The sequence below is a fragment of the Homo sapiens genome, chromosome 4, assembly GCF_000001405.40.
Source record: "Homo sapiens chromosome 4, GRCh38.p14 Primary Assembly".
NCBI classification, from domain to species: Eukaryota; Metazoa; Chordata; class Mammalia; order Primates; family Hominidae; genus Homo; species Homo sapiens.
Genome location: NC_000004.12, coordinates 86,127,953 through 86,154,619, shown reverse-complemented (window position 1 = coordinate 86,154,619; position 26,667 = coordinate 86,127,953). Strand labels below are relative to the sequence as shown.

The window sequence follows — 26,667 nt, the reverse complement described above, 5'->3', positions numbered from 1 at the left end:
TAAATCTGAAATTGTCGTGACTTTTAGTAGATTCAAGAAAGGAAGGCTTATGATACTTTTTCTTAACAATGGAAAATTGTAAAGGTCAGCACATGTAACCTAGGAAAATGCCTGATGGTAACAGTTGCTTCATCATCACACTGTGTATATTGTATACATATTACAGTTAAGAGCATGGGATTTAATAAAATAACTTTACTAATACTCCATCATGGAGGCTGGCAGAGAAGCATTTGAACTTTTTTTTTCTCCTATCTTTCATCCAGGGCTTCAGTTAACCAATATTATTTACAATATGTTAGTTGTAAACATTAGTTTTTAAATCTGCAGCACAATTTCACAGGGCCAGCTAAGGATCTTTAAGCACAGAATATGGATGGGAGCATCTTATGGTTATGAGGTTGGTGACATGAAGAGAGATGGGTAAGATCATCCAGAGGTTTTCCAAAGCATCACTCTTCCTCAATAATACAAAACAGACTTGATCAGTGGGCCCCAGATGATTTTATTTTGTTTCTGCAAACATTACTCAAGCTCTTGTGGCACATTTCTCTTAAGAGTTTCTAATGAGCCATTACGCTAAATGACACGGATTTAATCACACATTTCCATTTAGCCCCTGACCAGTGGAAATGATTATCCTCTCATGTACATCTGTAATATCAGCATATTCTTCATCCCTGGCATTTTCCATTAATTTTAAAATTTTGGACCCTTAATCGCAACCTCCTTGAAATAAGGAACACTGAGCTTCAAAATACTGTCTTTTATATATGTAGCAGGTTTAAGGTGGTGATGGCCCAGCAGAATAGGACAGAATTAGACACTGTATTCTTCCACATTTTGCTGTTCTCCTAGGCCTCTTTGCACAGTACAGGCCACACATATTTACCATATTTCTCAATTGATCAATAAGACTGGTAAATGTCATTTTTTTTCCTTTACGAAGAAAATGTGGTGTTTTGAAAAGCAATGTGTAGAAGTTTGATGGCAGTATATTTACAGAAAAAACAATTATACATATATGTAATACCCACATTTCTATGTGTCAACCATAAATTATATGTGTGTCCTTATGTATAAATATTTAATTGTTGATGTGATAACTAATGCTGAAGGGGTTGGTAATTCATAATCTTAAAAATTATTTTTGGCTTTGGAATGTTTTGTGGACATTTATTCTGAATTCTGTCATTCTTCAGTTAATTTGTAATTAACTTACATCCCTGTAGTAAAAACTGACAGCAAGAGTTTGTAGCCTGGGAGCACTTTTCTTGGCAGATTTGAAAAATAGTCATTTAAATTTCCATAGATAATTATTTACTTACAGATGATTGAGTCTTTTCTGTAAATCATTTGTTGATATAAATACTAATGTCCCTATTAGAAGAAATAATTAGTAAATACATTATTTATTTTTCAGTTTCAACTTCCCTCCTAAAGATTAAATAGTTAAGTGATGCTGGTTCTTATTTTTTTTAGAACTTGTCTTTTAGGGCATCAGTGAATATTTTCATTGTGGAATTAAAGTCAGTTTATAGTCCATATACTATTTTTTCAGATTAATCCTGATTGTTAGGATTAAAATGTATCCATGGTTATGTTAAAAAGTAACCTACAGCCCAAATATAAATATCTAACAAGTTAATCTAGCACCATCCAGTGCATCTTGGAAAAGCCAAAATTCCTCACAGAAAGGAGGCAGTTTGATCAGTTGAATTAAATTATGCTAAATAACAGGTGGCAATGGCTGTCCCTCAGATTCTGGGAAGCATTCTCATTTACTGCTCTAAGAGACCTGTGCATTCCATCTGTAGATAAGCTGGCTTTGTTTTTTTTAAAAAAGATAGTAGGTATGTGTTATAAATTTTGTAACGAAAAATACCAAGGCTTAGAGGAGCTTTTTATACAGCTCAGAGGGAAGGTAGTTGGCCCTTCTCTCTACTAAGTCATGCTTCTGGCCTGTTACAGCATTACTTTCTGTTTCTAGAGTCTGAGCTGTCTTTGCTAATCATGGATTTGAATGTGGGGGCTGAGGACAAAGGAAGACATCTTTTAGTTTGGAAGATGGAGTGACAGCCCTATCATTCCCTTTGTGCGCTCTCTGCCTCTCCTGTGATGGAATTTAAATTTATTTAAAATATTTGACCTTGTCAAGTAAGTTTCACTTTACATGTCCAAAGTTATGAATCCAGCATTGAGCCATTGCATTTTAAGCTTCTGTGTATGACAGGAGAGTCTAAATTATCATCAGGGAAGGTACTCAGTCACTTCATTTGACATTTATTTAAATACATGTACCTTAGGGTTCTTGTGCTGTGCTCTTCTTCATTTCTATTCTTCTTTATTTTTTATCATTAAAAACATTTTTCACAGATTTTAATATGTCCATTAATAAAATCATGATTTCACTCTCAATCCAGGGAGATGCAACCCCAAATATATTTTTAAAAGTTTTCCTTTGGGTTCACCAAGGACATCAGAATATGGATGGGAAGTGTGAGCCCTGCACAAGAGGACTGAGATGAGGGACTTGTACGGGCGGAACTCCAGCCTGGGCTCTACCCGTGGACTCTGATACGTGGTCACCTCCGCCTCGAGGAGCTGCTTTTTCTCACACCCACACCAGGTGGGCTGGCAGCAAATATTAAATGAACTTTAGATTTGAAGTGACCATGACAGAAACTCAGTTTAACTAGCAAAAATATAAGTTGCAAAATACTTAGTTTACAGAAGATCTAATACATCTGGGATGTTAAATAATTCACTGGCATGATGATTTAAGACACCTGAAGAAAATGCAAATAATCAGGGAGCAGAGGAAAATTATAAGCCAAATTGTTGTCATGTTAACATTCTCCCTTCTCTTCAGTGACCCTGCTTCTCTCATCCCTTTTCCCTCCCTACATCTTTTTATGGACATCTCTCTTTCAAGGCATCCCTGTTCTCTGAACCTGTCACACTCCTGCTGGATTAACTTTTTCACCATCTAGCCAGGAACCATGAAGAGTGATTTCAGACACTCTCAGATGCTCTTTATTTTCTCACCTCCTTGTCCTCTGAAGCTTTGTTTTCCAAACTCTCATCCGGATCAGCCCAAGTGGCTGTTTTCTCTGCTCCTGCTGGAAGGCTGAGCCCAGCTGGAGGAATGATATAATCACACTGATTTCCTCCATTATAAGTTTATGAGCTTCATCCTCAGCTGGGCCCTTGTTCCTGCTCAGCAACCATTTTGCATATATGTCTCGTCAGCTCCCTAGCCATTTCCCAAGGCGGCTGTTACAATCCTTTTACAACTTTCATGAAAGCTCCCAATTCCACTTCACCAGCAACATTCTTTACAGAAGGTCTTACCTCCTACTTCCCTGAGAAAACAGATGGACTCAGGCATGTAAACTCTCAATTTCCCCTTCAATCTCCTAACTCTTTGTCATCTCCAGTCTTCCCTGCCCAGTTAGTTCCTTCATGAGGGACACCGTCAGGCTGGCCACCCACCTGTGTTCTTGATTCCATCTCCACCCGTTGGGACCTATTAGTTTTTGTCTGTCTTGCATTGACTGATGCTTCTTCTCCCCTGCCTATGGACGACCTCTCACCAAATTCTCATCTACAAAAAAAGTTATTTAGAATGTGCCTACCCCTCAAACAACCCCTCTTTCTCTCCTTCCCTCATCATCACACTTCTTGATAGTCTGAAGTTAATGCCTCCACATACCTTTTTAGTTCTCATTTTACAAGCAGTTCCAATTCTTTTTTTTGAGACGGAGTCTCACTCTGTCGCCCAGGCTGGAGTGCAGTAGTGCGATCTTGGCTCACTGCAAGCTCCACCTCCCTGGTTCTTGCCATTCTCCTGCCTCAGCCTACTGAGTAGCTGGGACTACAGGAGCCCACTGCCACGCCCTGCTAATTTTTTTGTGTTTTTAGTAGAGACGGGGTTTCACCGTGTTAGCCAGGATGGTCTCGATCTCCTGACCTCGTGATCTGCCCGTCTCGGCCTCCCAAAGTGCTGAGATTACAGGCGTGAGCCACCGCGCCTGGCCAAGCAGTTCCAATTCTATCACATTACCCCTGTGGAGGAGGATGCTCTGGGGAGGCAACCATTGACCTCCTAAGTGGCTAATCCATTGGCTTCTTTTTCAGCTCTCATTTTATTATTATTATTTTTATTTCAATGGCTTGTGAAGTACAAGTGAGATTTTTTTGTTATATGGATGAATTATATAGAGGTGAATTCTGAGATTTTAGTGCACCCATCACCCAAGTGGTGTACATGTTACCTAATGTGTAGTTTTTTATCCCTTGACCCCCTCTTACCCTTTTTCTCCTGAGTCTCTGAAGTCCATTGTATCACGCTGTATGCCTTTGTGTACTCACAGCTTAGCTTCCACTTTTGAGTAAGAACATACAATATTTGGTTTAACATTCCTATGTTACTTCACTTAGAATAATGGCCTTCAGCCCCATTGAAGTTGCTGCAAAAGACATTTCATTCCTTTTAATGGCTGAGTGGTATTCCATGGTGTATATACCACATTTTCTTTATCTACCCATCAGTCAGTGGGCACTTACGTTGGTTCCACATCTTTGCAATTATGAATTCTTTGGCTCCCGTTTTTTTTTACTTTTCTGTAATATCTGGAAAGGTTAAATATCCAATTCTTCTTGAATTCTATCTTCTTTTGAATTTTAAGCTAAGAATTTTAAAAATCTGGGGCTCGTTTGGAATGGGATGGACTGGCCAACATACTGAGGGCTGTGAAAGGCCGTGGTTAGAGTGCAGACTCTAAGATCCTGGCTCCCTCTTACCTGTGTGGGATCTCAGGAACTTTATCTGAAGATGGGGCTGGAAGAAATAACTATGTATGCACAGAATTGCTGTTAAAGCAAACTAAATTAGTTAATACAGTGCCTGGATTTACTTAGCAGTCAGTGCCTGTTAGTTTTCATTATTGTAGCTGGCCTGGCTTATGGCCAGGTTCTCAGAGGTTGGTTTGATTAGGGAACTGTCTTTTCTAGTTCAATGTTCAGAATGCCAGTAAAATAATCCAATCCAGGTTGGGTGCGGTGACTCGTGCCTGTAATGCTAGCACTTTGGCAGGCCGAGGTGGGTGTATCACCTGAGGTCGGGTGTTCAAGACCAGCCTGGCTATCATGGCGAAACCTGTTTCTACTAAAAAATACAAAAATTAGCCAGGCGTGGTGGTGGGTGCCTATAATCCCAGCTACTTGTGGGGCTGAGGCGGGAGAATCGCTTGAACCTGGGGGGCGGAGGCTGCAGTGAGCCGAGATTGCGGCACTTCACTCCAGCCTGGGTGGAAGAATGAAACTCCATCAAAAAATAAATAAATAAATAAACAAATAAAATCCAATCCAAAGCCACTGAGGCCAAGATTTGAATTGGTGGCCAGAGCAAAAGGAGTCAGAAAGACAGGTACTAATTTTCAAGCCTAATGAGAATGAGATTCTAAATGAGAGAAGGAAGGCAAAAGCCAAGAACCAGGCCAGAACTGGATCAAAGTGGGAGAAATTTGGGAACAATGGAATGAATCTAGCACATATGTCATGAATATTATTGGCTGGTGGTTGAATGTTAATGCTATTAGACTAGGTTGAAGCCAACTGTTTCCTGGTGCCCTCCTACCTCTATGGTCAATCATTATCTAACCTTTTATTGATCATCTGTCTCTACCCTTCAAATATTTGTATTTTAAAAGTGTTCTTCCTCCTTTGTGCTTGCGTTTTTCACAGTTCAATGCCTGATGTCTTCTGTCTTTTGGCTGTACTTTACTTCTAAGCCGTTGGTCCATGAATTATTTCTGTACTCTTATCTCCTTCAGATTCCTCCACAGATATCTCAAATTCAGCATGCCCAATATAATTTTATGATCATCTACTCAAACTTGCCCTTCACGATGTATTTCTTATTTGAGGATTGCTATTCCTTCAGTTGCCTCAGTTAAAAATTACGGAGTCATAGTTTCTTCCTTTCTCTTTCCAGATTGAGTCTAATTGTTTCTATTTCTGAAATATCCCTTCCTTCCATTTCAACTGCCTTTTCCAGGTCTTCATCATACCCCGCTGGGCTATCATCATGGATAGTTAACTGATATCCCTTTCCCCCTCCTTATCTCTTCTTCTCCTAGTCCGTCTTCCATACTGCTTATGGGTAAAGTTGCTTACACAATAAAATTCAAATATTTTGGAAGGGCATACTAGTCATTGTTCTCAAATGTGCTGACCACTTTTATGCTTCGGGTATTTATATGAAGCTATTTTCTTTCACCTGAATGCTCTTGACATGCTTGCCATTTTCCCTGGGAATCCCTGGGAAATTGCTCTCATTTTCACATTTCAGTTATGGGGTCACCTTTTCTGCGAAGTCTCAAGTCACCTTTTCTACTGCTCAGCAAAAGTAATTGCCCTCTCATCTGTATTATTATGACATGTTATACTTACATCTCTTTTGGAACTCTTTATATTTTTATTGCTATTAAAATCTGTGTCTGCTGCTAGATGATGATCTCCTTGGGACAAGGATTCTGACTTTCTCATCCTTATAGTCTGAAGATTTCAAAAAGTGCCTGTTGCATAATGTTAACTATTAAATTTATCAATAATGTAATGTGTATGTTTGAATGTGTGTATAGTATGTATCAGATAAATAGTATGACCCACTAATTTCAGGAGTAATACATCAAATCATAAAATGTACTAATAACGGAGGCTAGCATCACCTGTAGGAATTAGATACTGTTGTATGCAAACATCAATTCAATTATTAGAATAAGTCTAACTTTCTCTTAAATTATGCCTTTGACTAATCTGAAGAATGAGTTAGTAATATGAAAATTGATTTTTCAAATCATTTATTAAATACTATACCAATTTATATCTGATTTGATAATAAATATCACAGATATATGGCAAATTTTAAAAGAATCATTAAATAGTACAATCTGAGGACTTGATACAAATTTACTAAAAGTATTCTTTCATATTTTGGTGTCAATGTAAGAGAGATAAATAGTCACTATAAGTTAATATTTATGGTATCCTTACAGAATGTATAACATTAGTATCATAAGTTTGGGAAATAAGACATGAATGTCATTGATATAGCTAAACTCAGTATTGGAGGTATATTTATTAGTGCCTGGCACATGAGGAGCTTTACTAGATTTAAAGGAGAATGAAGAAATGAAAAAAATGCAAATGATGGTGGTTGTCTAGATTCATTGTTTGTAAACTGAAATAAAGGAAAAAGACATTTGGGAGGCTGAGGCAGGCAGATCGCTTAAGACTGGAGGAGTTTGAGACCAGCCTGAGCAACATGGCAAAACCCCGTCTCTACCAACAAAAACAAAAATTAGCCAGGCATGGTGGCATGTGCCTGTGGTGTCAGCGACTCCTGCGGCTGAGGTGGGAGAATCCCTTGTACCCAGGAGGCGGAGGTTGCAGTGAGCCATGATCATGCTACTGCACTCCAGCCTGGCTGACAGAGCGAGACACTGTCTCAAAAAAAAAATAAGAAGAAGAAGAAAAAAAGAAAAATATATTAATCAAAACAAAATAAAAAATTTAATCCCATACTAAGATCGCTCATAAATGCACTTTCCTTCAGTGGGTTTTTATTGAGTTACTGACTCATATTAGACACTGGGCTATGTCATAGTGATATAAAGTTGAATAGAAAGGACCAAAGATCCTGCCATCTAATCAAGAGATTGATGTAATACATAAATGCCATCACTTTTCTTGGGCTAGTTTCTTCACATCCTTCAGTTCATATACATTGGTTAGGATAATTTTGGCTGCTGTGACAAATTGACCAACAGAAAATGATAGAAGCTCAAACATAATAGAAGTGTTCTTCTCATTTATCAGGTGGAGGTGGAAGTAGATAGGGGAAAGATTTTGGTTCTGTTCAGTGAGCTGAGGAGAGAGACTGATGAAAGCTCTGGCATATTCATCTTGTAACGTGTAAGGGCTCCAAACAGCCAAAAGCATGGAGCTACTTCTGTGGGCCAGGCCTGGAAGTGGTGCGTTTCCCTTTTGCTCACATTCCACCTGCTAGAACTCTGTTAAATGGCTATAACCTAACTGCACAGGAGGCTGGAAATGTCATCTAGTTGAGCTGTGTGCCCAAGAAAAGGAAAAAGACTAGGATTTTGCAGTCTTTGCCCTCTCTAAAATGTCTATCATCCTCCTAAATCCAGTGCCAGTACCCCTCTGACCAGCTTCTACATAACCTTGTATTTTCACAGGATTATTAGCATCATCACATTATTTTTACATTGTCTCCTTACATTGTCCATTTCCCACTAGACTGTAAGCTCCATAAGGAAGACTGTCAGGCTTGCCTTCAGTTGAATTTCTAACTCTAACATAGTTCCTTGCAGAGTAGGCACTTAACAAATATTGGAGTTAAAGTTCTGATTTTCCTTTCTACATCTGTTATTCACTCTCAGCTCACTGGAATCCATTTCTATGCACTCTACTCTGTTGAAACTGCTCTTGCTAAATTACCAGTAAACCAACCAAAATGCTAAATGCAGCAAGTAGTCTCTGGTCTCCATCTTATTTGATTTGGCACTTTGGTACTGTCCTCTTCAAGGTTTACTTCTTAGTTTTTCAACTGTATTTTCCCAGTTCTTAGACGGACTCCTTTTCTGTGAAATTGGTGGTGCAAAGAAGAGCTCTTGGGTGTTAATAGCTTGCAACCTCAAAGGTAAAGAAGGTCTACATTTTTTTTTAATGGCAGGAGAGTGTGTTTACTCTATTAGAGAGGAAATGCTGGATGTTACAGGTAAGGCATGTGGAAAGAAAAACAGAAAGAGAGAGAGGCTCTGAGACAGAGTAAAAGAGGAGAATGAGACAGAGAGACAGAAGAAGAAAGATACACAGAAATAGCAAGAAAGAGAGAAATAGATGACAGATACACAATGAGGAAGAGGAAGAGAGAACACACAGACAGAGAGATGTAGGAACATCAAGCAGGCAGCTGAGAGATTCCCAGAGAGAAATGGAGAGACTCAAGAAACCAAAAATAATTGTTAGAGAACAATTTCGGAGGAAGCAGGATGGTACATATAGAAGTAGCTTTGAAAAGAAGCAGTAATTCTTTGTGAAACAGAAACATTGAGAAATACTATTTTTGCTTACAATAACACATGTTTGGTATGCTGTATAATATTTCATCACTAATTTTCTAAAATCATCAAATAGAGATAGAAATTTTTTTTTTTTTTTTTTTTTTTTGAGACGGTGTCTCGCTCTGTAGCCCAGGCTGGAGTGCAGTGGCGCGATCTCGGCTCACTGCAAGCTCCGCCTCCCGGGTTCACGCCATTCTCCTGCCTCAGCCTCCCGTGTAGCTGGGACTACAGGCGCGCGCCACCACGCCCGGCTAGAGATAGAAATTTGAATGGACCAAGAAATCTTTTGACCCTTGTGCTACATAGGAAAAAGCAATTGAAAGGAAAAGTAGAAAAAAATACTAGAAAAGATCACTGGACCCAGAGTAATTTTTGTAAAATTGCCACTTTTCTGCTTCGTTGTATTTTAAGGAGGATAAAACTAATTGGTAGAAGTGCTTTATCATTGATATCTTTTTTGTTTTTTTGGGTTTTTTTTGGTAAACATATTACCGGGTAGGGAATAGAAACTTAGACTTAGCTACTGTGTCCATAGTGTGCAAATTTATCCAATTGTGTTCATAGAGTTGTACTTATTTAGCAGCTCACTGTAAGTTTTTAACATTTGTATTCCTTTATTTTTGTCCTGAAAGCAAACATGGAGTTTCTGGATCAGTGGCAGAGTATTATTACTCAAGGCAATAATTATATCAGTTACCCATGTCTCCTTCACTCCATTCAGTGCAATATTATAAAAGACAGATGTTATCCTACACATGCAAAGGGATTTTTGCATTATCAATAAGAAATTATGAATCTCAGAGTTTATATAAGGCCTGCTATACAGCTGCCACCTTGCTAAGAAGAGAGAGAGAAGGAAAGAGAGGGAGAGAGATCTAATTTTCCTAAAGTAAGTATTCTCTGGCAGGAGAAAGAGAAAGTCCCTATTTTACAATCATTTGGAATGTAAATGTATGCTCTGGGATTCACCCACTTTGAAATGAAAACAATTTTTTCTCTAGAGGTTCTTCTATACTCTTTAACTTCCAAGACTTGTCCTTTAACCAGATTCTTGCTTTATCTGCTCAAAGAGCCCTGACAATGCAGAAATATTAAAATATCTCTATGATGTAGGTATTATTATTTACATTAATAATGTAAAATTCCAGTCTTATAAAGTAATATTTCTGGATTCAAATAATCTTGTAAAATTTCTATTTAAAAATACTTTAAAATAACTGTATTATAAAAACAATTGTTTTTAACAACCCCTACTTAACTGGAACACAAGATCTTTTAATGTTTTACTTAAATCAATTTATAAGTGCATGTGCTGTGGCTATATACACATATGTGTTAAGTGTGCAGAAATCAAAATTACCCCCTTAAACACACCCCCCAAAAAAGATACCAGTAATTTGGCACCTTCTCACAAGAATACTGCTAACTCCTCTTGTATGCATTCAAAAAATATTTAGCAATTTAGTATGATTAATTGAAACTATGCTGTTTTCACCCTTATTCTCTAATAAGCTTAGGATCTGATAACTATTCTACTTGGTTATCAAAAAGCATGCCAGAGGAATTTTAGCTTTTGCCCATGTGAGATTTTTTTTCTCATAAAATATATGTCTGGAGAATTGAAAGAATGTGTATTAATAAGATGTTGTAAAAGAAAGTCATTCTTTATTTCATGTGTATTTCCTCATATGCAATGATTTCCTTGAGGTTGGGAATCACATCTATTTCATTATATTCCATTCCATTTAATACATTTTAATGAAGCACTTAATATGTTCCAGATACTGTGTTGTATGCTTGAGCTACTGTCATGAGCAAAAGAAGACATGGTCCTCACTCTCTTTCCAAGTTTTGGTCTAGTAAATAGAATCTGGTTGTGGGTATCTATATTACAATATACTCTGAAATATTCTAACAAAGAGACACATAGTACAGTGACTTGAACACTTCTCTCTTCCACTGAAGTCTGAGTTCCTGCATAGTTCCAGGGAATAGGACAATTCTGTTTCACAGAAACACAGGAATCCTGACAGTGTTGTTCTGTCCATGTGACCAAAGCCACTAGGGTCACATTCCAGTTTATGGAAAGAGAAAAAAAGCAAGTGGAGAGCAAGCTGTCTTTCTATAAGGATATTGATATGGTTTAGCTGTGTCTCCACCCAAAATCTCATCTTGAATTATAATCCCCATAATCCCCACATGTCAAGGGTGGGACCAGATGGAGGTCATTGGATCATGGGGACATTTTCCCCCGTGCTGTTCTTGTGATAGTGATTAAGTCTCAGGAGATCTGGTGGTTTTACAAGCATCTGGCATTTCTTCTGCTTGCACTCACTCCGTCCTGCCACCCTATGAAGAATGTGCCTGCTTCTCCTTTGCCTTCTGCCATGATTGTAAGTTTCCTGAGACCTCCCCAACAATGTGGAACTGCGAGTCAATTAAACCTCTTTCCTTTATAAATTACCCAGTATCAGGTATTTCCTCATAGCAGCATGAGAATGGACTAATACAGATATGACCTAGAAGTTGAATATTTCTCTTCTGCCCTCACCCATTGTCTTGAACCTAATCTAGCTGTAAGGAAAGCTGGAAATATATAGTTAGCTGAATGCCATGTGTCTGTGTAAAACTAGGGAAGTTCTTATAACCATGAGGAGGGAGGGAATGGATCTTGGGAGACCATTAGACTCTGAAATAGCAAATCTTCCATTTCTGGATCTGGTAACTGATATCCAGTCCCTCTCCTTGTTCATCTGACTTTGATGTATGGGCTTTGCTTCAAATCAGTGTGGGTTTTACTTCTTGATCCTTCTAAATTGTGTCCCAGCCAGCTGCATTATATGGATTAGAGCCAATAGCTTCTCAAGAAATAAAACAATCTAACATAATTTATATGACAAATGAAATAACTAGTGTCTTGCTAGAATGATGCAATCACCCTGTTTGTCTCCCTCACCCTGTTTTCCCAAGACCTATCACAGTGTCTTGAACATAAGAGATACTGGAAAAAAAAACCTTCATTGAATGAATGAATGAATGATGAATGAATCCTCTAGAATGTAAATGGATAGCTCTGGGTTTCACCTGCTTTGAAATATAAACATGTGTCTCTCTGGCAGTCTCTCTTTATTCATTCTTTAACTTCCAAGGCTTGTCCATTAACGCAGCTCCAGTTTTCTTCGTTTAGCAAACCCTACCGATGCATAAACATTAGCATACCTCTCTGAGGTAGGTACTTGCTGTGGTTTGAATATGTTTTGTTTTTCCCACCAAAACTCATGTTGAAATTTGATCCCTGGTGTGTGGTTGTTGGGATGTGGGGCCTAGTGGGAAGTGTTTAGGTTTGGCGGTGGATCCCTCATTAACTTCTTGGTGCAGTTCTTACAGTAGTGAGTGAATTTTTGCTCTTGAGAGATTGGATTAATTCTTGCAGGAATAGATCAGTTCCCAAGAAAGTGGGTCGTTTTAAAGCCAGGATGCCCCTCAGTTTTCCTCCTCTTTGCACATGTTCACTTTCCCTTTGATGGTCTCTGCCATGTTGTGACACAGCACAAAAGCCCTTGCCACAAGCCAGGGCCATGCCCTGGAACTTCTCAGCCTGCAGAACCATGAGCTAAATAAACTTCTTTTCAATTACCCAGTCTCAGGTGTTCTATTATAGCAACACAAAATGGACTAAGATAGGACTGTCATACATATTAGTAATGTAAAATTCTAGCCTTTAGCACATAAAGAAACTTATAGGCTACATTTTAGATTTAGCCTATACATTTGCTCAATGTGTATTTTTAAAAGTGTATTCTCTATCAATAAATTCTACAGAGCTTTTTCTCCCATAGACTCTGTAAAATATCCAGGCCTATATTATTATTACCCCAGGAATGGCTTTTCTTTCTGTTTTAAGATGCTATAGCGCAATGTTAATTTCTTTTTCTTGCATTCTATAACTGATAGTCTTTGCTATAATAAGAGAATGGTGTCTTAAACTTCTTCTGGCTAGAAAGAGTAAGCTACCAGTGGTGTAGAAACTGAAGACAGAATACTCCCCCACACTGAATAAAGATGTGGACTTCATGACACAATTTCCTCAGGTTAAAAAAGCTCAGGGGGTTATCTTGGGTCACTAGATTTGAGGCATTTGCTGTAGCTCTTTGTGCCTTGTTCAGCAGTTAACTATCTCATGTTCACCATAGGACTATCATTTTAATATTTTTTGTAAGATACCAGTGTCATGTTTTTGTAAACTATATCCTTTCTGTAAGGTAATGAATCATTCTGAGCTTGACTTGTATGTTGTGGTGTGGGTGAACTCTTTAGAACATGGTACAAGGCCTTTTAAAACCTAAGTCACAAATAAGCTGAATGACTTTGAACAAGTTAATTGTATTTTTAGGCCTTAATTTCCTCATGTCTAAATAAAATGAGGGTATTGGGTATTGGTTCAATGATTAATGGTCTTTCTAGCTAAAAATTCAGTCTGGATATGTAGATTATTTGCTATTTAGAGAAATGCATAATTTATGTTTCCTTCCTTTTTGAAAATTGCTGTTGACAAACACAGTGCTTTTGACACTTTGCAAAGTATTTATTGTGCATCTAGTAAGAAACTGAACTTGGGAGCCTGGGAAGTAATTACTAAGTCTCTAGCAGCCAATAGTTATGCGTGCATGCGTGTGTGTGTGTGTATTTGTGCACACCTGCCTGTGCATACACATGTATGTGTAATTTGTAGCTGGTTGAAATCAGAATGCATACATAAATTTCCTTTAATTTTTTTTTTTATTATTATACTTTAAGTTTTAGGGTACATGTGCACATTGTGCAGGTTAGTTACATATGTATACATGTGCCATGCTGGTGTGCTGCACCCACTAACTCGTCATCTAGCATTGGGTATATCTCCCAGTGCTATCCCTCCCCCCTCCCCCCACCCCACAATAGTCCCCAGAGTGTGATGTTCCCCTTCCTGTGTCCATGTGTTCTCATTGTTCAATTCCCACCCATGAGTGAGAACATGCGGTGTTTGGTTTTTTGTCCTCGCAATAGTTTACTGTGAATGATGATTTCCAATTTCATCCATGTCCCTACAAAGGACATGAACTCATCATTTTTTATGGCTGCATAGTATTCCATGGTGTATATGTGCCACATTTTCTTAATCCAGTCTATCATTGTTGGACATTTGGGTTGGTTCCAAGTCTTTGCTATTGTGAATAGTGCCGCAATAAACATACGTGTGCATGTGTCTTTATAGCAGCATGATTTATAGTCCTTTGGGCATATACCCAGTAATGGGATGGCTGTGTCAAATGGTATTTCTAGTTCTAGATCCCTGAGGAGTCGCCACACTGACTTCCACAATGGCTGAACTACTTTACAGTCCCACCAACAGTGTAAAAGTGTTCCTATTTCTCCACATCCTCTCCAGCACCTGTTGTTTCCTGACTTTTTAATGATTGCCATTCTAACTGGTGTGAGATGGTATCTCATTGTGGTTTTGATTTGCATTTCTCTGATGGCCAGTGATGATGAGCATTTTTTCATGTGTCTTTTGGCTGCATAAATGTCTTCTTTTGAGAAGTGTCTGTTCATGTCCTTCGCCCACTTTTTGATGGGGTTGTTTGTTTTTTTCTTGTAAATTTGTTTGAGTTCATTGTAGATTCTGGATATTAGCCCTTTGTCAGATGAGTAGGTTGAGAAAATTTTCTCCCATTTTGTATGTTGCCTGCTACTCTGATGGTAGTTTCTTTTGCTGTGCAGAAGCTCTTTAGTTTAATTAGATCCCATTTGTCAATTTTGTCTTTTGTTGCCATTGCTTTTGATGTTTTAGACATGAAATCCTTGCCCATGCCTATGTCCTGAATGGTAATGCCTTGGTTTTCTTCTAGGGTTTTTATGGTTTTAGGTCTAACGTTTAAGTCTTTAATCCATCTTGAATTGACTTTTGTATAAGGTGTAAGGAAGGGATCCAGTTTCAGCTTTCTACATATGGCTAGCCAGTTTTCCCAGCACCATTTATTAAATAGGGAATCCTTTCCCCATTGCTTGTTTTTCTCAGGTTTGTCAAAGATCAGATAGTTGTAGATATGCGGCGTTATTTCTGAGGGCTCTGTTCTGTTCCATTGATCTACATCTCTGTTTTGGTACCAGTAACATGCTGTTTTGGTTACTGTAGCCTTGTAGTATAGTTTGAAGTTAGGTAGTGTGATGCCTCCAGCTTTGTTCTTTTGGCTTAGGATTGACTTGGCGATGCGGGCTCTTTTTTGGTTCCATATGAACTTTAAAGTAGTTTTTTCCAATTCTGTGAAGAAAGTCATTGGTAGCTTGATGGGGATGGCATTGAATCTGTAAATTACCTTGGGCAGTATGGCCATTTTCACGATATTGATTCTTCCTACCCATGAGCATGGAATGTTCTTCCATTTGTTTGTATCCTCTTTTATTTCTTTGAGCAGTGGTTTGTAGTTCTCCTTGAAGAGGTCCTTCACATCCCTTGTAAATTGGATTCCTAGGTATTTTATTCTCTTTGAAGCAATTGTGAATGGGAGTTCACTCATTATTTGGCTGTTTGTCTGTTGTTGGTGTATAAGAATGCTTGTGATTTTTGCACATTGGTTTTGTATCCTGAGACTTTGCTGAAGTTGCTTATCAGCTTAAGGAGATTCTGGGCTAAGACAATGGGGTTTTCTAGATATACAGTCATGTCATCTGCAAACAGGGACAATTTGACTTCCTCTGTTCCTAATTGAATACCGTTTATTTCCTTCTCCTGCCTAATTGCCCTGGCCAGAACTTCCAACACTATGTTGAATAGGAGTGGTGAGAGAGGGCATCCCTGTCTTGTGCCAGTTTTCAAAGGGAATGCTTCCAGTTTTTGCCCATTCAGTATGATATTGGCTGTGGGTTTGTCATAGATAGCTCTTATTATTTTGAAATACGTCCCATCAATACCTAATTTATTGAGAGTTTTTAGCATGAAGGGTTGTTGAATTTTGTCAAAGGCTTTTCCTGCATCTATTGAGATAATCATGTGGTTTTTGTCTTTGGCTCTGTTTATATGCTGGATTACATTTATTGATTTGCGTATATTGAACCAGCCTTGCATCCCAGGGATGAAGCCCACTTGATCATGGTGGATAAGCTTTTTGATGTGCTGCTGGATTCGGTTTGCCAGTATTTTATTGAGGATTTTTGCATCAATGTTCATCAAGGATATTGGTCTAAAATTCTCTTTTTTGGTTGTGTCTCTGCCCGGCTTTGGTATCAGAATGATGCTGGCCTCATAAAATGAGTTAGGGAGGATTCCCTCTTTTTCTATTGATTGGAATAGTTTCAGAAGGAATGGTACCAGTTCCTCCTTGTACCTCTGGTAGAATTCGGCTGTGAATCCATCTGGTCCTTGACTCTTTTTGGTTGGTAAACTATTGATTATTGCCACAATTTCAGCTCCTGTTATTGGTCTATTCAGAGATTCAACTTCTTCCTGGTTTAGTCTTGGGAGAGTGTATGTGTCGAGGAATTTATCCATTTCTTCTAGATTTTCTAGTTTATTTGCGTAGAGGTGTTTGTAGTATTCTCTGACGGTAGTTTGTATTTCTGTGGGATCGGTGGTGATATCCCCTTTATCATTTTTTATTGTGTCTATTTGGTTCTTCTCTCTTTTTTTCTTTATTAGTCTTGCTAGCGGTCTATCAATTTTGTTGATCCTTTCAAAAAACCAGCTCCTGGATTCATTAATTTTTTGAAGGGTTTTTTGTGTCTCTATTTCCTTCAGTTCTGCTCTGATTTTAGTTATTTCTTGCCTTCTGCTAGCTTTTGAATGTGTTTGCTCTTGCTTTTCTAGTTGTTTTAATTGTGATGTTAGGGTGTCAATTTTGGATCTTTCCTGCTTTCTCTTGTGGGCATTTAGTGCTATAAATTTCCCTCTACACACTGCTTTGAATGCATCCCAGAGATTCTGGTATGTTGTGTCTTTGTTCTCGTTGGTTTCAAAGAACATCTTTATTTCTGCCTTCATTTCGTTATGTACCCAGTAGTCATTCAGGAGCAGGTTGTTCAGTTTCCATGTAGTTGAGTGGTTTTGAGTGAGATTCTTAATCCTGAGTTCTAGTTTGATTGCACTGTGGTCTGAGAGATAGTTTGTTATAATTTCTGTTCTTTTACATTTGCTGAGGACAGCTTTACTTCCAAGTATATGGTCAATTTTGGAGTAGGTGTGGTGTGGTGCTGAAAAAATGTATATTCTGTTGATTAGGGGTGGTGAGTTCTGTAGATGTCTATTAGGTCCGCTTGGTGCAGAGCTGAGTTCAATTCCTGGGTATCCTTGTTGACCTTCTGTCTCGTTGATCTGTCTAATGTTGACAGTGGGGTGTTAAAGTCTCCCATTATTAATGTGTGGGAGTCTAAGTCTCTTTGTAGGTCACTCAGGACTTGCTTTATGAATCTGGGTGCTCCTGTATTGGGTGCATATATATTTAGGATAGTTAGCTCTTCTTGTTGAATTGATCACTTTACCATTATGTAATGGCCTTCTTTGTCTCTTTTCATCTTTGTTGGTTTAAAATCTGTTTTATCAGAGACTAGGATTACAACCCCTGCCTTTTTTTGTTTTCCATTGGCTTGGTAGATCTTCCTCCATCCTTTTATTTTGAGCCTATGTGTGTCTCTGCACGTGAGATGGGTTTCCTGAATACAGCACACTGTTGGGTCTTGACTCTTTATCCAATTTGCCAGTCTGTGTCTTTTAATTGGAGCATCTAGTCCATTTACATTTAAAGTTAATATTGTTATGTGTGAATTTGATCCTGTCATTATGATGTTAGCTGGTGATTTTGCTCGTTAGTTGATGCAGTTTCTTCCTAGTCTCGGTGGTCTTTACATTTTGGCATGATTTTGCAGTGGCTGGTACTGGTTGTTCCTTTCCATGTTTAGCGCTTCCTTCAGGAGCTCTTTTAGGGCAGGCCTGGTGGGACAAAATCTCTCAGCATTTGCTTGTCTGTAAAGTATTTTATTTCTCCTTCACTTATGAAGCTTAGTTTGGCTGGATATGAAGTTCTGGGTTGAAAATTCTTTTCTTTAAGAATGTTGAATATTGGCCCCCACTCTCTTCTGGCTTGTAGGGTTTCTGCTGAGAGATCCACTGTTAGTCTGATGGGCTTCCCTTTGTGGGTAACCCGACCTTTCTCTCTGGCTGCCCTTAACATTTTTTCCTTTATTTCAACTTTGGTGAATCTGACAATTATGTGTTTTGGAGTTGCTCTTCTCGAGGAGTATCTTTGTGGCATTCTCTGTGTTTCCTGAATGTGAACGTTGGCCTGCCTTGCTAGACTGGGGAAGTTCTCCTGGATAATATCCTGCAGAGTGTTTTCCACCTTGGTTCCATTCTCCCCATCACTTTCAGGTACACCAATCAGACGTAGATTTGGTCTTTTCACATAGTCCCATATTTCTTGGAAGCTTTGTTCATTTCTTTTTATTCTTTTTTCTCTAAACTTCCCTTCTTGCTTCATTTCATTCATTTCATCTTCCATTGCTGATACCCTTTCTTCCAGTTGATCGTATCGGCTCCTGAGGCTTCTGCATTCTTCATGTAGTTCTCGAGCCTTGGTTTTCAGCTCCATCAGCTCCTTTAAGCACTTCTCTGTATTAGTTATTCTAGTTATACATTCTTCTAAATTTTTTTCAAAGTTTTCAACTTCTTTGCCTTTTGTTTGAATGTCCTCCCATAGCTCAGTAATTTGATCGTCTGAAGCCTTCTTCTCTCAGCTCGTCAAAGTCATTCTCCATCCAGCTTTGTTCCGTTGCTGGTGAGGAACTGAGTTCCTTTGGAGGAGGAGAGGCGCTCTGCTTTTTAGAGTTTCCGGTTTTTCTGTTCTGTTTTTTCCCCATCTTTGTGGTTTTATCTACTTTTGGTCTTTGATGATGGTGATGTACAGATGGGTTTTTGGTGTGGATGTCCTTTCTGTTTGTTAGTTTTCCTTCTAACAGACAGGACCCTCAGCTGAAGGTCTGTTGGAGTACCCTGCCGTGTGAGGTTTCAGTGTGCCCCTGCTGGGGCGGTGCCTCCCAGTTAGGCTGCTCGGGGGTCAGGGGTCAGGGACCCACTTGAGGAGGCAGTCTGCCCCTTCTCAGATCTCCAGCTGTATGCTGGGAGATCCACTGCTCTCTTCAAAGCTGTCAGACAGGGACATTTAAGTCTGCAGAGGTTACTGCTGGCTTTTTGTTTGTCTGTGCCCTGCCCCCAGAGGTGGAGCCTCCAGAGGCAGGCAGGCCTCCTTGAGCTGTGGTGGGCTCCACCCAGTTGGAGCTTCTAGGGTGCTTTGTTTACCTAAGCAAGCCTGGGCAATGGCGGGCGCCCCTCCCCCAGCCTCGCTGCTGCCTTGCAGTTTGATCTCAGACTGCTGTGCTAGGAATCAGCAAGACTCCTTGGGCATAGGACCCTCCGAGCCACGTGCGGGATATAATCTCGTGGTGCGCCGTTTTTTAAGCCCGTCGGAAAAGCGCAGTATTCAGGTGGGAGTGACCCGATTTTCCAGGTGCCATCCGTCACCCCTTTCTTTGACTAGGAAAGGGAACTCCCTGACCCCTTGCACTTCCCGAGTGAGGCAATGCCTCGCCCTGCTTCGGCTCGTGCATGGTGCGTGCACCCACTGACCTGCGCCCACCGTCTTGGCACTCCCTAGTGAGATGAACCTGGTACCTCAGATGGAAATGCAGAAATCACTGTCTTCTGTGTCGCTCACGCTGGGAGCTGTAGACTGGAGCTGTTCCTATTCGGCCATCTTGGCTCCTCCCCCCAATTTTACTTTAATTTGAATGACAAAGATAATATGTAATTATTACCACTAAAAGTAATATTTTTTCATTTTCCTAACTTCTTATGATTTGGAAATTTTGAAATAACTGAATGTTGTTATCAGCTTACACATCAAATACAAGTAACAAACTGGAAAAAGTATGTGTGGTGTGTGGCAATATGATAATGAAATAGAGGGCAGGGGTGGAGACTTTAATGCAGTTTTGCAAAATCTGATTATTAATTGCTATTAATGGAGTTTGAGTTAGATATTTTCAATTTTTCAGAGAAATTTTCAATTTGTCTGGCTGGCTAGATTAGTGGTCTATAAATATATAATGTAGTTATCACACTTCTAGTTTCCTTGAAAATATACATAGGAAGGGAATGGTTAATGAAATTAGAGCTACAGATACTTAATTTGTAGAGAGATTGGCTCTTCAGGGAGATGAAAGATATCTTCAAATATTTGAAGTCACAAGTGTCAATAAATGTGTAGACTTACTCAGCTTGACTCCAGAGCACATTCACAGAATTAATAGGACTTAGATTTTGGCTCAATGTAAGAAAATAATTTTATCAGAGTGAAAGCTATTCATCATGGGTTGGCTTCCTTGTGAAGGTGTAAGCAGTTGGTGACTGATAGTTTGCATGCAAAAGATGGCCAGATGAACATTTCTTAGGAATATTGTACTTTACATAGAATTTCTTCATTTGGTAGAATGTTGGATTAAATGAAATCTTAAATTTTCATCCCATTCTAAGATTACATATTTTTTTGTTACCCGAGAATCATTATTTATGGACTACCAATGCTTTTAAGCAAAGAATCTCTAGCCACGATGTGTCTGAGGTACTTTGATGTTCAGATTTGGAATGGGTTATCTCCTCAACTTATTTACCACATGGTCAGTAAGGACTGACTTAATCTCAGTTGGAGCCACCAGCAAGATGTCTGGCTCAACACCCAAAATCTGAGCCAAAAGTTCTGGCTAAGTGTGATAGATTCATACGTGTTAATACCCACAAAAAGAGTTTTTTAGAGTTCAAATTCTCTTCTAAACATAAAACTGTAGACACATTTATTTGAGAAAGGTCAAGTAGTTTAGTTCTAGCTCTTGGTCATACCCTGTAAACTGTTTTGGCTGTAGGCATTAAAAATTTTTATGTTGCAGACAGGAAAATTTGTATTATGATTGCACATTAAGCTTATAAAATTTTGGAGCTCCCTCTTTAAGAAAAATCACAAATACAAAATTAAGAATGAAAGTGAATTATTTACTTAGAATAAATACATTACAACAAATCACAAATTGTAAAAAAGCTGATAAATACCACAGAATCATAAAATCTAAAAAGATAATACTTTATTTTTCAGCTCTCTGATATAATACCCTTTTTACTATATACTTTTGGCTGCATACTCTTTTAATATGTCTCCACATGAAGATGATTTTGTAATATCATTATCTGTAGAGAAAACAGAAATTCAGTATCTTCCATACTATGATCAGTTTAAACATATCTTTTGTTATTGATAGTTTGGAAAATATTTTTTTCAGCTTCACAATTCATTACTGATAATGTCATATACATGTTTAGAATTGTCAAATTTGAGTGGTCTCCAACCTTTTTGGCACCAGGGACCGATTTCGTGGAAGACAGTTTTTCCATGGGCCTGGGGCTTGAGGGGTGGTTTGGGGATGATTCAAGCACATTACATTTATTGTGCACTTTATTTCTATCATTATTACATTGTAATATATAATGACATAATAATACAACTCATCATAATGTAGAATCAGTGGGAGCCCTGAACTTGTTTTCCTGCAGCTAGATGGTCCCATCTGAGGTTATAGGAGACAGTGACAGATCATCAGATATTAGATCCTCACAAGGAGTGTTCAACCTAGATCCCTCATATGCGCAGTTCACAATAGGGTGCACGCTCCTATGAGAATCTAATGCTGACGATGATTTCACAGGGGACAGAGCTCAGGTTGTAATGTGAGTCATGGTGAGTGGCTGTAAATACAGTTGAAGCTTTGCTTGCTCACCCACAGCTCACCTCCTACTGTGTGGCCCGGTTGGGGACCCTTGTCTTATATTATTTATAAGTTAAAGGAATTGGAATAGAACTTAAGATCAGAAAATATTAGAGGTAAATTTTTGTTGACTTCATGACAAAAATCAGTTGGACTTAGCCTTAAAAATGCATTTTTATGACTAACATAGTCAATGTATAGTTTCAAAGGCACATGACCTGTTATTCCTCAATAAGGTAAATATATTTGGTTATATGCATTTCCCAATACAAAAAAATGTGTTCAGTTTGAGTTTTCTTTTCAACAGTCGATAAAGGGCAACATAAAATCATTAGAGGAATAACTACTCTACTACTCAATATTTTAACTCAACATACATCAGTAATAAAGTTACAGAAGATTTATATCCAAGTTTCATACATGTATCAATGATTAAATAATTAGGTTATTAACTCATCGAGACCTTTATGAACTAGGTTATTAACTCATTGAGACCTTTATGAACTAAGAATTATATCCAAGTTTCATATATGTATGAATAGTTAAATAAGTAAGTTATTAACTCATTGAGATCTTTATTAACTCATTTAGACTTTATGGACTAGGACCAGCAGTGTATCGTCTACTGACTAGAAGCAGAAAGGAGATGAGATAACCCTTGGAGTTAAGTTCCAGTTTTGTATTCCTTTAGGTTCATATTTGATAATCTTTTCTGATCTGGTACATTTCAATTTATTTCGTGGCTTTTATCAAGCATTTTGGCTGTGTTTTCTCAGTGTTTCAGAGTCCTATTTCATAATGTAAATGTAGCATTTTGATAGTCCATGTTAGCTCATCCATATAAAATGCTATTTGCATCGTCTCGTAAATAACATTATTTTAAAATATTTAGTGTAAAGAAGAACACTTTTTAATGTTAACATTTTACATTACTTACTGGCCTACAAACAGGATTTATGCTGAAACAATTGACTAATTGCATTCTTGGCACAACATGCTGCCAGTAATTCAATCATAGAGTTGTGAAGCCTCTTTTTTTCTTTTTATTTTCTACCTTGAAACTGTAATAAAGCTATAGTCTATGATAAAAACTGGGGGAGAATTATAATTCTTGTTGTAAAAGTACAGCAATTAGTCCAGATGCTAGGATAAATCCCTAGCTAAGTAGGTCCATTCCTAACTGTGCTTTTCAGAACTGATAGATTAATCTCGAAATACAGTTTGGGTTTTATTAAATCCTCAAGTTCAATCCCACATTCTGCAGTAATAATTCTTCATGTTTATTATTTTCTCTACTCCTCTTAAACACTTAAACTGTCTGTATGCCTGTTAGCTAGATAATAAAAACAAAACAGGCAAAAACACCCACTAGGTCTTGTTTGTGCGTGTTTTTCATCTATCAAAATGAAAGTAAGTTAACCATCTCAATTCCTTGAAATTTTTTGTTTCTAGAAAAAGTGAAACATTTGATTTGATACTAGCACTTATTTTCAGTAATTCTCCAACCACCTACAATCTGCCATAATTTATCTGTCCCTGACTACCCTCATGTACTCATTTCCCTCCTTATACTGCTTAGATCTTGTGCCTTATATTATGATCTATCCCATTTATAAGCTTTCACTATCTTCCCCTCTTTCTTCTTGGCAAAATTAAAATACTTGTTCAGTCCAGCTCCTCAGCACTAGAATCTGTGAACAAGCCTGGAGAAAAACATTCAGATTGTATGGTCTCTTCTAAATTTAATACCAACAGGAATGACTGAGCCTTTATCACTGTTCAGGATCTCCAGCCCATTTACATTCCTACTGCCCTAAGTGACAATTTCATTCCTTCACCTCTTCCTCAAAACCCCAACATCTTCTTCCCCATCCTGTGTCTTATCTGAAAATCTTGCTTCCCATTTCACAGCAAAACTAAAGTCTATCAGAAATGAATATCCATAAGCTCTTGGCTCCCACCACATTTACCATGGACTAACATCTGAATCCCTTTAATCTACTTTCCCTGCTGATGCTATGCACAAAGTATTTTATCGTATGTAAGCCAATCTTGCTCTTGCGATTAGACCACATTTCATTTGGTCACCTCAAGAACATTTATCTAGCAATTATTCTCTTTGTCATTCTCTATATTTCCTTAAAATAAGACCTTTCCATTAGCATCTAGTATTTTCTCCTTTTGACCTAATTATTTGTTTAGTTTGAATCTATCTTATATTCCTCAATATGGTATAGTTCTTTGAGTACAAGAAACTTCTACTTTGCTTGATCAGCAAGTTTTTGCTGGACTATAACACATGACATGGTTTATTAGCATTTAAATTTAACCTCATATGAAGTTTTTTATATTATCTAAATAAAAATGTCCAATAAGTAAAAAAGGAGACATTCCAGAAGATCAGTAAATTGTTGTTGAATAAATGAAGAGATAGCTCACAACAACTTGAAATGAACTTGATTGTCAAAAGTGAGTATCAGCTCAAATTAAAAAGAAATGCTACAATAGAATTTCATTTCCCTGTAGCACTTAGTCAAAAGAAAAAGAGATATTATTTTTGTAATCCCAGAGGACACAAAACTTAAGTATTGAAATGGTTTCACATATGCAGCAGTCATTGAATCTACGCATGTGCACACATTCATACACACGTTTTCATTTTTGCCAATAGCCCAGAAAGAATATTGGTGAGAAGAGAATTTTTGTAATTTTTAAAGTGAGTCTTGCAGATTCTGACCTATCTCCAAACTTAAGCTGCATCACAAAAGAGTGCATAGATAAATCTCTTTTCTATTTTTGAGCTTATTAATGTTTGCTGCCTCATGTTCCCAAACTGAGCACACACAAAACCACAAAAGCAGGATGCATTGGGGAGGGCTGTTAAAACCAGCTGGTCAGGAAATCCATTTGGGGTCAGTAAACTGGCTGCTAATGACACCAACCAACAGGAAAAAGGTAGAGAGTACAAGAGCAGGACGTGCATTTAGGAGTAAAATCAATACTCGTATTTGATTGGTGTGATACTTTTTAGGTAATTGTGCAAAGAAATCCCAATATGTAGTCTCAAAGTGCCAACTTCAATCTTGGTTTAAAATACTTAGAGAAATATTAATAGGTTATGTGAGAAGACTACTATATGGACCAAACCTTGTCTTGACAATCTTCATGTTTATTTAAAACAAACAAAAACCAGCTAACAATTGCAGAATTTGTTAGCCTTTTATCTGGTTTTACTACGTTTCTCAAACACATTGGTCTTATCAAAAATAATTTTGTGACTTTTATATGCTTTTGGCTTTTAGTATTTTCTGGAAGCTCAATTTTTGTTTCTTTTACAAGCACAAAGATGCTTATGTAAAGTTTCAATAAGAGAAAATTCTACCATAAACTAATTGTTTTGTGAGCACATTATTTAACCACCATGGGACTCAGTTTCCTTATCTCTACTGGTTTGCCAAATGTCTGTAAAAATACAGCAAGTTAATGCTAACATCTGTCCAGAAAGTAAGTCTAACTTCTAGTTATTAACATGAAATTATTTTTCTATCATCAACTCTTTCAATTATCTAAATAAATATTATTTAACTCTTTGTTGACCAAGTGAATAAATGAACAAATTAACTGTAAAATTAGAATCAGAAAGGCATATAGGAATTTTCTTGTTTACACTATTCATTATAATGAGAATTATACTGCCGTCTTAGTGGAATAGCTTGCAAATATTTAGTTTTTGCTTTAATAATAAGGAAAGTTTAAAATGTTGAAAATTCTAATAACCTTAGAAAACCAAGGGAAAATTAATAGTTGTCATGCATCACAGCAAGTGATGTCAGTTATATCTTAATTTTTCCAATATGTGTTGTGCTCCTATATATTTATAATAAAAAATTTACTTCTTATTTCTAAATAATTTCAAACTTATGGAAAAATAGCAAACATAGTAAAAAGGACTACAACAAGATTATAATTGTATTAATCCATTCTCATGCTGTTAAAAAAGTCATACCCAAGACTTGGTAACTTATAAAGAAAAGAGATTTAATTGGCTCACAGCTCAGGATGGCTGGGGAGGCCTTCAGGAAAATTACAATCATGGCAGAAGGGGAAGCAAACACGTCCTTCTTCACATGGTGGCAGAAAGGAGAAGAATGAGAGACCAGCAAAGGGGGAAGCCCCTTATAAAACCATCAGATCTCATAAGAACTAACTCACTATCATGAGAACAGGATGGGGAAACCGGCCCATGATTAAATTACCTCCATCTGGTCCCTCTCAGGACACGTGGGGATTATGGGAACTACAATTCAAGATGAGATTTGGCGGGGACACAGCCAAACCATATCAATAGTAATACTTACTTCATATGGTTTTAGTGAGAATCAAGTTACTCATGTATGTAAAGCATTAAGAACTTTAGAAACAAATGAGTTGGGAGCAAAAGTGCTTATAACTAAAAAAATTATTCATTATTATTAAGTCTTGATTTTGGCACTTGAACAACAAGAGTGCCTATCTTATAGGACTATTGGATGCATAAAACTTAGAAACCCATGGTTTTTCCAGTCTAAGCTAATGACAGCCTGTGCTATATATATAATAAAACTTACTGAAAGAAATCTAATCCCAGTGCCTAAAATTATTTGAGTAACACTACAATAAAATAAAAAATCCCTAC

At 37.8% G+C, this 26,667-nt stretch overlaps 1 protein-coding gene and 1 long non-coding RNA gene across 15 annotated transcripts in view, besides 2 other annotated features; one reads left to right on the top strand and one right to left on the bottom strand.

Moving 5' to 3' along the window:
* The window catches only part of MAPK10 (mitogen-activated protein kinase 10), a 583,670-nt gene that overhangs the window by 439,455 nt on the left and 117,548 nt on the right, over positions 1 to 26,667 (top strand). The window lies entirely within an intron of this gene.
* MAPK10-AS1 (MAPK10 antisense RNA 1) overlaps positions 1 to 26,667 on the bottom strand; it is a 100,121-nt gene that overhangs the window by 65,307 nt on the left and 8,147 nt on the right. The window lies entirely within an intron of this gene.
* Positions 18,984 to 19,528: an enhancer, noted in NCBI's record as "H3K27ac-H3K4me1 hESC enhancer chr4:87056245-87056789 (GRCh37/hg19 assembly coordinates)". NCBI's record gives its function as "activates a minimal SCP1, AML or CMV promoter by ChIP-STARR-seq in primed H9 embryonic stem cells {active_cell/tissue: H9 hESC(primed)}" and the evidence as "EXISTENCE:reporter gene assay evidence [ECO:0000049][PMID:30033119]".
* Positions 19,529 to 20,075: an enhancer, noted in NCBI's record as "H3K27ac-H3K4me1 hESC enhancer chr4:87055698-87056244 (GRCh37/hg19 assembly coordinates)". NCBI's record gives its function as "activates a minimal SCP1, AML or CMV promoter by ChIP-STARR-seq in primed H9 embryonic stem cells {active_cell/tissue: H9 hESC(primed)}" and the evidence as "EXISTENCE:reporter gene assay evidence [ECO:0000049][PMID:30033119]".